The sequence below is a fragment of the Homo sapiens genome, chromosome 1 (assembly GCF_000001405.40).
Source record: "Homo sapiens chromosome 1, GRCh38.p14 Primary Assembly".
Lineage (NCBI taxonomy): Eukaryota > Metazoa > Chordata > Mammalia > Primates > Hominidae > Homo > Homo sapiens.
Genome location: NC_000001.11, coordinates 63,331,599 through 63,344,780, shown reverse-complemented (window position 1 = coordinate 63,344,780; position 13,182 = coordinate 63,331,599). Strand labels below are relative to the sequence as shown.

General features: G+C 41.9%; 1 non-coding gene across 1 annotated transcript; it reads right to left on the bottom strand.

Moving 5' to 3' along the window:
• Positions 1-10,960: 10,960 nt before the first annotated feature.
• LOC124904741 (U7 small nuclear RNA) lies at positions 10,961-11,022 on the bottom strand. Its single transcript, XR_007067296.1, has one exon. It is a non-coding gene; the product is annotated as a U7 small nuclear RNA (small nuclear RNA).
• Positions 11,023-13,182: the final 2,160 nt, after the last annotated feature.

The window sequence follows — 13,182 nt, the reverse complement described above, 5'->3', positions numbered from 1 at the left end:
TGGTGGGATTGACTCAATCCCCCATTCCACCTCCTGTGGAAAACCCAGTACCCTTCTCAACCTCTCTGGAAAGACCTAGGGGCTTCTCATGGCGGTTGCTTCTGGCTCCAACTACTTTGTCTTCTAAGTTCTTGGTCTTTAGTCTATATTGCTGCTCCTCTTTCATCTCAGCCTTGTCATCAATTCAAACATGTAGCTCAACCCTTTTATACGGAGATCAATATATTAATCTCTCATGCCTCATTTTATACTGTGGAGAAAATTGAGGAGTGGAGGTTACAAGACATGCCCAAGATGACTCAGCTGGTGAGGGGCAGGGCTGGGCCAAGAAGTCAGGTCTTCTTTCCACTTCATCATTCTTCCCAGTCATCAGGTACATTTGTATAGCTCAGGGAGGGGAAGAAACTTGGCCATTCTTTGGCCAATAAATGCAACTCTAAGAGTTTTCCCCAGGTCTTTACTACTTATTAATTAATAATCTATTTTAGTCAGCTTTGGCTGCCATAACAAAATACCATAGACTGGATGGCTTAAACAACAGAAATTACTTTTCTCACTCTCCTGGAGGCCAAAAGTCCCAGATCAACATTCAGCAAGGTTGGGCCTCAGTGAGAGCTCTCTTCCTGGCTTGTAGAAGGCTGTCTTCTCATTGTTTCCTCACATAGCCTTTCCTTGCTGGATGCAGAGAGGGAGGAAGGGAGGGAGGGGGAGAGGGGGAGAAGGGCAGCAGGGGGCGGGGAGAGAGAAAGAGAGAGAGAGAGAGAGATTTCCTCCTCTTCTTATAAGGCCACCAGTCTAATCATATTAAGGCCTCACTCTTATGATCTTTAATTATCTCCTAAAGATGTAGTCTTCAAATACAGTCACTTTGGGGGCTGGAACTGGGAAGAAACAATTCAGTCCGTAGGACAGTCCTATTAAAAGTTAAAGGGGAAAACAATGTGTCATGTCAGAAAATATTCTCACCTTCTCAATTCTTAGTGAAGTTTTAATTAGGGAAATAAAGAACTATGGATAAATTTTTAGGTTTCTTAGTAAGGCAAAAGAACTTGCAAATTGGCTGGGCGCAGTGGCTCATGCCTGTAATCCCAGCACTTTGGGGGGCCGAGGTGGGCAGATCACTTGGGGTCAGGAGTTGGAGACCAGCCTGGCCAACATGGTGAAACCCCATCGCTACCAAAAATACAAAAATTAGCTGGGCGTGGTGGTGCATACCTGTAATCCCAGCTACTCGTAAGGCTGAGGCAGGACAATCCCCAGAACCGGGAGGTGGAGGTTATAGTGAGCTGAGATCATGCCACTGCACTTTAGCCTGGGTGACAAAGCGAGACTCGATCTCAAACAAAATGAAACAAAACTTGCAAATCACCTAACAATCCTTGAGTGCCTACTATGTCTCTGGCATCATTCATTATAAGCACCTTACATATATTAACTAATTTCATCCTCACAACCATCTTATTATGTAGATACCATAATAAGATTTAGCTCCCATTTTGCAGATGAAGAAATGGAACTAGTCCAACATCACACAGCTAATAAGGGGCAAGACTAGGATTTAAACCCAAACAGTCTGGCTCCTGATCCTATGCTCTTAACTATAACTCCATGTTGCTTATATTTATTATAATCACTTCCAGTTTCCTGGGGCAAATAAACATGGTTATACAAAACAAATGGAAAGTGGTATGTATGAATTATCCTTTACATAGTTTGCTCATATAAAGTGCTTAGAATAATAATTTTAAGTTAAAAAGCAAAAAATAGGAACAAATACCTTGGGCAACATAGTGAGACCTCACCTCTACAAAAAATTTAACAATTAGCCAGTCGTGGTGGTGCCCACCTGTAGACCTAGCTACTCAGGAGGCCAAGTGGGAGGATCGCTTGAGCCTGGGAGTTTGACACCAGCCTTAGCAAAATAATGAGACCCTGTCTCTACAAAAAAATAAAATAAAAAATTAATTGGATGTGATGGCACATGCCTGTAGTCCCAGCTACTCAGGTGGCTGAAATGGGAGGATTGCTTGAGTCCTGGAGGTCGAGGCTGCAGTGAGCTATGATTGCATCACTGCACTCCAGCCTAGGCAACAGAGCAAGACTCTGTCTCGAAAATAAAAAGGGAACTATTGAAAATTACAGTCAACTGAAGTCAGCAAGTGCAGCTCCTAAAAATTTTGGAAGTTCCAGCTATTTATGTCATATGTAGTAGGGACACTAAAAGATTGCCAAGCCTTGCATTTATTAGTAGAATGCTGAATTCTTAATATAACATAACAATACTGCATTTATTTTACAAATATCAAGTATAATTGGAAACAGAAGAACCCTCCCAAGTAGGGTGACCAACTGTTTGCCTGGGACTTTTTCAGTCCAGAGAATTTCTGTCTTCTCTGGAACCAGAAATAACTCTATCAAACATGTTTTTCATTTGTTTTTGTTTGTTCTTGAGACAGTCTTTCTCTGTCGCCCAGGCTGGAGTCGAGTGGCATGATCTCGGCACACTGCAACCTCTGCCTCCTGGGTTAAAGCAATTCTCCTGCCTCTATCTCCCGAGTAGCTGGGACTATAAGCACGTGCCAACATGCCCGGATAATTTTTTTATATTTTTAGTAGAGAAGGGGTTTTGCCATGTTGGCCAGGCTGGTCTTGAACTCCTGACCTCAGGTGATCCACCAGCCTGGGCCTCCCCAAGTGCTGGGATTTTAGGTGTTTTTATTTTTACTTTTTGGCCAGGTCAAAAGTTTTTAGTGCTCAAAAGCCAAAAAATTAACTTATTTTGTTTCTTATGGCCTCCCTTTCCTGAGGCAGTGGATGACAAGTTTCAGTTTGAACTGGAGAGAGGGATGAGGTAAAAAAAAAAAAAAAAAAAAAAAAAAAGCATTGCACATCAAGAGCTACCTCACCTTACTCCACCCCCAAGCCCCAGTCCAAATAGTCACAGGAAAGCACAATTCTCCTTCGCTGTCAAATCCAGAGGTACTTTTATCCCAACTGTGGAAATCAGCCTGGATTAGGGCAAGTTCCAGATACTGTCATCAGCCTCTCCCTGGTTCTTTCTCTCTCTCCTCCCCAAGGTCAGGCATCGTTATATAATTTGATCGGGCGAAACTCTTCACCTGTTGTTCCAAATCAATTGTTAATGACATAAACTTTGACTCTGGGTACTCTGGTTTTTGACAGGCAAAGAGCCGTTTCTTTCAAAAAGCCTTCCTTTCCAAAGTATTCTCTTTGTCATGAACTTCAAAATGCCCATTTTAAAACTAAAAAACTAGGCTTGGTGCAGTGGTGCATGTCTGTAATCCCAGTGCTTTGGGAAGCTGAGGTGGGAGAATGGTTTGAGGCCAGGAGTTCAAGACCAGCCTGGGTAAGACCCTGTCTCTACAAAAGAATTTAAAAATTAGCTAGGTGTGGTGGTGCACATCTGTAGTCCTAGCTACTCAGGAGGCTAAGTCAGGAGGATTGCTTACACCCAGGAGTTTGAGGTTACAACGAGTGACAATTGTGCCACTGTAAACTAAGTAGATACTTTTTCCTCTATGAATTTCTGCTAAAACAAACAATAATAGCTTAATATTCATTATATTTTATAACAATAGTACTACCTCATAAGGTTTTGGTGACAATTAAATGAGTTAATACGTATAAAGTGCCTAGTGCCACTTAGCATTCTGCAAGTGTTTGTTCACCAAGCACTGTTGCAGATGCCTTGCCTGTAACTACCTCATTTAGTCCCACAACAAGTAGGAACTGTTATAATCCTCTCATTTCAGATGAGAACACTAAGTCACAGTAAGGTTGCTCAAGTCACACAGCTAGTAGGTGGCAGGGCTGGATTTCAAGCCCAGGCAGTCAGGCTCCAGACTTTGTCTGCTCTACCATATGGTTTCTGCCTTTCAAGAGGAAATCAAGGAGTCACAAGAAATTCCAAGAAAGGAATCAAATGTTAGCATTTTTTTCTTTCTTTCTTTCTTTTTTTCTTTTCTTTTTTTTTTTTTTTTTTTTTGAGACGTAGGCTTGCTCTGTCACCAAGGCTGGAGTACAGTGGTGGGATCTCGGCTCACTGCAAGCTCCGCCTCCCGGGTTCATGCCATTCTCCTACCTCAGCCTCCCGAGCAGCTGGGACTACAGGTGCCCACCACTACGCTTGGCTAATTTTTTCGTATTTTTAGTAGAGCTGAGGTTTCACCATGTTACCCAGGATGGTCTCGATCTCATGACCTTGTGATCCACCCGCCTCAGCCTCCCAAAGTGCTGGGATTACAGGCGTGAGCCACCACGCCCGGCCTTTTTCTTTCTTTTATTTTGAGACAGGGTCTTGCTGTCACCCAGGCTGGAGGGTCTTGCTATGTCACCCAGGCTGGAGTGCAGTGGTGTGATTACAGCTCACTGCAGCCTCAAACCCCCAGGGCTCAAGCAATCCTCCCACCTCAGCCCCACCAAGTAGCTGGGACCACAGGTGCCTGCTACCACACCCAACTAATTTTGTTTAACTTTTGTAGAGACGAGGTCTCTCTATGTTGCCCAGACTGGACTCAAACTCCTGAGCTAAAGGGACCATCCTGCCTTGGCCTCTCACAGCACTGGGATTATAGGCATGTGCCACTACACCCAGAAGAATGTTAGCATTTCAAAATTTTACTGCAACACTCTACTTTGAAATGCATCAGAAAAGTAAGATGGACTGATGGATGGATCAAATGATAAATGGATAGATCGGTTATGTAATAAAGCATATGTATTAGGCCAGGCGCAGTGGCTCACACCTATAATCCCAGCACTTTGGGAGGCCGAGGTGGGCACATCACTTGAGGTCAGGAGTTGGAGACCAGCCTGGCCAACATGGTGAAACCCCATCTCTATTAAGAATACAAAAATTAGTCGACATGGTGGCATGCACCTGTAATCCCAGCTACTTAGGAGGCTGAGGCAGGAGAATTGCTTGAATCTGGCAGGCAGAGGTTGCAGTCAGCTGTCAGCTGAGATTGCGGGCACTGCACTCCAGCCTGGGTGACAGAGCAAGACTCTATCTCAAAAAATAAAAAATAAAAATAAATAAATAAATAAAAGCATGTGTATTAGAGTGTTCATGGCAGAATGGTAACTATACAGGTATTTGTAACAAAATTCATGTTTTCTGTGTCTGAAATTTTTCATAATAAAATATTGAGCACCATTCCCCAAATATTACTGCAACATATTTGCACCCTACGAGCCACTCAGATAATTCTTTTATGAAAAGTCTACCTTATCCAGCATCCTACTACATATGACAGCACACGTTTAACTACTAAATTGTGTAGGACAGACAAAATGCCATGCAACTCTGCAATAAGGGTGATCACTATGGACTAGCCTGATAAGTGCCCCCTAGGAATGTCACTGTGAGTCTCATTTTTGCAGATTGTGGCAAGTAGAGAAATGGGAGAAAAAAATTAAACTATATTTAATTATATAATTAAAGCATATTTAGCTCACAGAATCCCCCTATTGTAATAACCAGTGAATCAACATTTTTTTTTTTTTTTGAGATGGAGTCTTGCTCCGTCACCCAGGCTGGAGTGCACTGGCGCGATCTCGGCTCACTGCAAACTCCACCTCCCAAGTTCACGCCATTCTCCTGCCTTAGCCTCCTGAGTAGCTGGGACTACAGGCACCCACCACCACACCGGGCTAATTTTTTGCATTTTTAGTAGAGATGGGGTTTCACCATGTTAGCCAGGATAGTCTTGATCTCCTGACCTCGTGATCTGCCCACCTCGGCCTCCCAAAGTGCTGGGATTACAAGTGTGAGCCACTGTGCCTGGCTTTTTTTTTTGAAATGGAGTCTCGCTCTGTTGCCCAGGCTGGAGTGCAATGGTGTGATGTCAGCTCACTGCAACCTCCACCTCCTGGGTTCAAGTGATTCTCCTGCCTCAGCCTCCTGAGTAGCTGGGATTACAGGAACGTACCACCACACCCAGCTAATTTTTGTATTTTTTAGTAGAGACAGGGTTTTACCATGTTGGTCAGGCCGGTCTCGAACTCCTGACCTCAGGTGATCCGCCAGCCTTGGCCTCCCAAAGTGCTGGGATTACAGGTGTAAGCCACTGCACCTGGCCTTTTTTTTTTTTTTTTTTTAAGGAGTCTCGCTCTGTTGCCCAGGCTGAAGTGCAGTGGTGCGATCTCGGCTCACCATAACCTCTGCCTCCTGGGTTCAAGCAATTCTCCTGCCTCTGCCTCCTGAGTAGCTGGGACTACAGGCATGCACCACCACACTGGTTAATTTTTACATTTTTTGTAGAGATGGAATCTCACCATGTTGCCCAGGCTGGTCTTGACCTCCTGGGCTCAAGTACTCCTCCCACCTCAACCTCCCAAAGTGCTGGGTTTACAGGCGTGAGCCACTGCCCTTGGCCTATTTATATTTTAAGTCTAGTCAAGTGAATCACTGGGAGTGAAGACAGAACAAATAAATCTATAACTGGGCCGGGTGTGATGGCTCACACCTGTAATCCCAGCACTTTGGGAGGCCAAAGCAGGTGGATGGCTTTGAGCTCAGGAGTTTGAGATCAGCCTGAGCAACATGGAGAAACCTTGTCTCTACAAAAAAATACAAAAATTAGCTGGCTGTGGTGGCCTATACCTGTAATCCCAGCTACTTGGGAGGCTGAGGCTGGAGAATCACTTGAAGCTAGGAGGCAGAGGTTGCAGTGAGCCAAGATCATGCCACTGCACTCCAGCCTGGGGGACAGAGTGAGACCCTGCCTCAAAAAAAAAAAAAAAAAAAAGAAAAAGAAATAACTGGTTGTGTCAATTAATTCCACTGCACTGAGACCAGCCTTTTTTTTTTTTTTTTTTGGTGCAGAGTCTAGCTCTTGCTGCCCAGGCTGGAGTGCAATGGCACAATCTCGGCTCATAGCAATATCCGCCTTCTGGATTCAAGTGATTCTCCCACCTCAGCCTCCGGAGTATCTGGGATTACAGGCGCCCGCCACCAAGCCCGGCTAGTTTTGTTTTTTGTATTTTTAGTAAAGACAGGGTTTCGTCATGTTGGCCAGGCTGGTCTCGAACACCTGACCTCAGGTGATCCACCCACCTTGCTCTCCCAAAGTGTAGGGATTACAGGCGTGAGCCACCATGCCCAGCTTGACCAGCCATATTTTATTTTTATTATATTTAAGGTATACAACGTGATGTTTTGAAATACATCAAGCCTGTCCAACCTGTGGCCTGTGAGTTGCATGTGGCCCAGGACAGCTTTGAATATAGCCCAACAGAAATTTGTAAACTTTCCGAAAACATTATGAGATTTTTTTGCGATTTTTTTTTTTGTTTGTTTGTTAGCTCAACAGCTATCATTAGTGTTAGTGTATTTTATGTGTGGTCAAAGACAATTCTTTTTCTTCCAGTGTGGCCCGGGGAAGCCAAAATATATATGTAGTGGTTACTATAGTCAAGCCAATATATAGTGATATATATAGTGGTTACTATAGTCAAGCAAATTATGGGCATTAATCCCATTTATGAGGCCTCTATCCTCATGACCTAATCACCCCCAAAGGCCCCACCTCCTAATACCATCACTTCAGAATTGGGTTAGGATTTTTTTTTTTTTTTTTTGAGATGGAGTCTTGCTCTGTCACCCAGGCTGGAGTGCATGGCGCAATCTTGGTTCACTGCAAGCTCCGCCTCCCGGGTTCACGCCATTCTCCTGCCTCAGCCTCCCGAGTAGCTGGGACTACAGGCACCCACCACCACACCCGGCTAATTTTTTGTATTTTTAGTAGAGACGGGGTTTCACTGTATTAGCCAGGATGGTCTCGATTTCCTGACCTTGTGATCCGCCCGCCTTGGCCTCCCTAAGTGCTGGGATTACAGGCGTGAGCCACCGCGCCCGGCCCTAGGTTAGGATTTCAACATATGAATTTTGGAGAGACATAAACATTCAGTCACTGCAGGAAGAAAGTTAGAAGCTGAGTGCAGCTGTGTATGGTGGCTCACACCTGTAATCCCAGCACTTTGGGAGGCTGACGTGGGTGGATCGCTTGAGTCCAAGAATTTGAGACCAGCCTGGGCAACATGGTGAAACCCTGTCTCTACCAAAAATACAAAAAATTAGCTGGGTGTGGTGGTGAAAGCCTGTGGTCCCAGCTACTCAGGAGGCTGAGGTGGGAGGATTGCTTGAGCCCAGGAGGCAGAGGTTGCAGTGAGCCAAAATTGCAACACTGCACTCCAGTTTGGGTGACAAAGTGAGACCCTGTCTCAAAAAAAGAAGCTGAGTGCAAATTATTTGCAAATATTTAGATTATATCCTTGGGCTGTCAATATTGATATAATAATAAGAATAGCTAACAGTTTTTTTTAATGCTTATTATGTGCCCAGGACTGTTGGAAACATTCTACATGCTTTAAATTATTTAATCCTCTCACCAACTCAGTGAAGGTAAAATAGGGACTATTATTGTCCCTGTTTTACAGATACAGTAATTAAGCTGCACATGGTGGTTCATGCCTATAATTCTAGCACTTTGGGAGGCTGAGGAGGGAGGATTGCTTGAGCTCAGGAGTTTGAGACCAGCCTGGGAAACATAATGAGACCTCGTCTTATTAGCTAGGCATGGTGGTGTGTGCCTGTGGTCCCAGCCACTCGGGAAGTTGAGATGGAAAGAACACTTGAGCCTGGCAGGTTGAGGCTGCAGTGGGCCATGATTGCACCACTGCACTCCAGACTGGGTAAAAGAGTGAGATGTCTCAAAAAAAAATTTTTTTTAAATTAAAGATAAGGTAACTAAGGCACAGGAGGTTAAGTAACTTGCACAATGTAACACAGCTAATAAGTCATGGAGCCAGAATTTGAAATCGGCAATTTCATTTCCACACCAGTGCTCTTCACCACTCCCTTATACTGCCCCTTATCAGGTGTTTAAGTAGTTAATTCATAACACTTCTCTTTCCCATCTAAGTTTGAAACCAATTAAAAGTAGACACAGAAGTGAGAGATTGAAAATATTAGCTTTATTTCTGGTGAAAGTTGAATTAAAGACATACAACCAAGTGGACTTGCTAATAGTTGCTGAGCTAGTCAGATTTACCTACCCAGCCATAGGCAGCACTAAACAGGTGCATATCTCACCCACAGGTATAGAGCATATTTTGCTAAGTCGTAGCATGGTGGAGACTGCAAACCAGAATGTATCCTCTCTGCAAGCAGTCATGCCCAAAATGTACAAGAGTGGCTAATCCACAAATGCCCAATTCCCTCTTCCAAACTCTTCAATCAGATAAGTCACTCTCCTGCCCTCAGTGGAGGGGGTGGGGGGAAAGGAAGAAGCTCACATCTTCTTCTAATAAAAATTCCTCACCATGGAAACATGTTGAGTAGGAAATAAATATTTCCCTGCCTAGCACTTACTAGTTCAGCTCTATAAGAATAAAAAAGCACTAGACACACACATACAAACACACACACACACACACACACACACACACACACACACACATTTGGAGATTTCCCAATCCGAAGTGAGGTAATTCTAGGAGGGCCTAGATGATAGAAAATCTAGAGGAGGAACTCCCCACAAAGAAGTATCTAACTGAGATAATCTTCTTACAGGACTAAGCACATTTTCTGGCATGTGGTAAGTGGTCAATTCGTCTTCTAAGCTCCTATCATCATCATCATGGCTGTTGTTCTATACTTATCTATAATTCCCTTTCTGTATGAAAACACAAAACAAATAAGAGCAAATCTATTAGAATGAATTCCTGGCCAAGTCTTGTCCAGAGGACAGAAACAATTTACATTTCATAGCACTGTTAAGTTTTCCAAAGCAATTAAACATATATCACTTGATTCTCAGAACAAACCTGGTAAGGCAGATATTACAATGGAAATTGCATCTTGTGCAGGAGTTAGACTCTAAAGAAACATGTAAGGTAAAACTCAAATATAATAAAAATTAGCCACAAAATTTTTTAAATTTGCCTGTACAGTATACAAGCATACCATATCTCCATTAATCTAAATAGCTAGCTTTTCCTTTGGTTGAGCTATAGATGTAATAGCTAATTTGCAACCTGGGCAACATAGCGAGATTCTGTCTCTACAAAAATTAGCCCGGTGTGGCAGTGCACATGTATTGTCCCAGCTACTTGGGAGGATTGTTTGTCTGGGAGGTTGAGGCTGCAGTGAGCCATGATCATGCCACTGCACTCTAGCTTGGGTGACAGAGTGAGACTCTGTCAAAAGAAATGAATGAAAGAAAGAAAGTAAAGAAAGAAAGAAAGAAAGAAAGAAAGAAAGAAAGAAAGAAAGAAAGAAAGAAAAGAAAAGAAAGAAGAAAGAAAGAAAGAAAGAGGGAAGGGAAGGGAAGGAAGGAAAAAGAAAAAAAGAAATAGCTGACTTGCATTTAGAGGCTATATTGCACAAAAATTGAGGGTAGTATATTTAAACACCAACACTTTTGGCAGCAAGATACCCACATTGTAAAAAGTATAAGAGAGCCAAGTGCAGTGGTTCACACCTGTAACCCCAGCACTTTGGGAGGCTGAGGCAGGTGGATCACCTGAGGTCAGGAGTTCGAGACCAGCCTAGCCAATATGGTGAAACCCCATCTCTACTAAAAAATTCAAAAAACTGGCCAGGCTTGGTGGTGGGTGCCTGTAATCCCAGCTAATTGGGAGGCTGAGGCAGGAGAAGTGCTTGAACCTGGGAGGCGGAGGTTGCAGTGAGCCGAGATCGCGCCATTGCACTCCAGCCTGGGCCACAAGAGCGAAACTCCATCTCAAAAAAAAAAAAAAAGAAAGAAAGAAAGAAAGAAAAGGATAAGAGAACTGACACTAACTATGGAAACAGCAATTTGTGCCACCCTTGCCTCACTTCCCTGCATCTCATGCCCATTAAGTAGAATTCAGGGTAGCTTCACATTTAAGTGGATTTTCATTCTCTCTCTCTCTTATTTTTTTTATTTATTTTTTCTTTAGTTTTCTGGTGAGAGCTGGAAAACCTGCTAGACTAATTCTAAAAGAGCTGTAACACTGCTTTTTAAATGATGTTTGGTTTAATGGGAGTAAGCTAAACAGATATGTAATATGTCTCCACTAGATAATAATAATCTGCAGTTTGGAGTTTCAAGTGACTTAACCAAAGTCACCATCCAGCAAACCCAAACCGGTTGACTTCTATCCCATCCTCCTTGAACTACACAACATCACATCCTTCCATTACCAGAGAGTATAACTGAGGTGGTCTTTACTAGCTCTTAATCAGATCTGACCTAGGCAGATAGTGACTTCTCCTAGTGAAATATTAGTGTAGATCTAGAAAAATGTTAAAATTAGTCCACCCAGACTGGATCTCAGCAAAGAGACATAAGGCACATGTCCTTGTTCTTGTGAAAATGCTATCATATCTTTAATGACTATTGTCAAGACCTCTCATCCACAAGACTGAAAAATACCCTGAAAGTGAAAAAGTGATTTACCAAGCAACACTACAGAGCAAATTGTCTCACATTCGTTAAGTTGTGAGAACACAAAAATGATGCCTAGCTCAAACAGATGGAAGGGACAGTGGTCTCAATGACTTCATTTTTAAATATGAAATGTGGCAACTATTTGGTATATGATATCAGAGTAAAAATTAAGGTAGCCTCATGAAAATATGACCACTATGTAACAGCAAAACTGTGTAGTACTAATAGCCCCCACATTTGAGCACTCCAAATACGTGATAGTAAATCTTCATATTCTGATCCCCATTTTGTAGGTAAGGAAACATAGATTCAGAGAGGCTGAGTAACTTTAATCAAGATCACATAGTTAAGAAATGGCAGAACCAGGATTTGACCCTAAGATTATCAATTCCAAAGCCTATGCTCCTTCTAGAATATCATTTTGTGTCTCAAATAAGAAGTAAGGGAATCAGTTTGAAAAATACAATATAGATATCTCTCACATCATAAGTGTTTAGCTCTCACAACTAATAATATGCTTCTCAAACTTCATCTTATTTAGTGTAAGAATATTTTATTTTAAAGTAACAAAAAAAAGTGACCCATTAAGTATGTATTTTGAATATACTGCACTAGAATACCAGTTCCCAAAGTTGAGCCCGGATTCCTGCTCACAATCTCCTGTAAGCCTTTTTCAAATTATTCACTGGACCTCATAGGTGGTGGTAGCAGAGAATAATTCAATCCCTTACCCTGACCTGTAGTATATAGTATCAGTATTAGAGTAAATAAGTTCTCAAACTGCTGGAGGTTTGAATGACAGATATCTTAAATCAAGATAAAAGTAAAATCAAGGTAAAAAAACTAAATTTTTAAAACAGTTACTCAAAAAGCTAAAACTTTGAAATGATAGTTATTATACTATAATTCCTTTCCTTCTCTCAGCTAAATTTTCACTAGTAATCTTTACTGTATGTGGGCTTCTAAATTCAATGTCAGGACTAGGACTAGCAATTAGTCTTGTCTTTTAATCCAGTCTATTAACTCTTGCACTTGATTCCCTCTAGGAACAAGAGCAACTTTATCATAAAGTCATAATTCCTGATATATGTGGAAAGTGATGCTGTTGAAGTACCATCAATAAAGCAGATGTTTCACAGTGGTTGTGATTAATTTGTGCTGATCTTGAAACTACCTTGCTCTTGTAACCAACATTTACATTTGCAAGCTGGTAGAATTTGAAAGAAGGTTTACCAGTATAATCTGTAACAATGGCAAAGAAGGAAGCTAACAGAGCTATATAAAGACTAAATCAAATGGGAACCACACAAACTGCGATATAAATTTGCCAGAAAATGCATTAGATGGGTAATGCAAAAGAACACATTATCTTGATTCCAATTGGAAGGCAATGGCCAAATATCTGGGATTTTCCTTCTTTCTGCTTCTCTAATTAAACAGTGGAATCTACATGAATATTTTCCAGAGAAGACATCTAAGTTCCTAGTTTTATATGATGAGTGGTTTAGATGACTAATATAGGTAAGACATAACTTTTATGCCAAGGAATACAGCAATGAAAGATGAATTAAATGATTTAACTTTTTAAAAAATACTTTTTATCTTAGCTTATAAAAACAAAATGGTAAAAAGAATAAAAAAAAAAAAAAGCTTTTTATCTGGTTAAAAAAACCAGGAACACAAAACTCTTACAACCATTCCACAAGAGTTTTACCACCAGTGTAGT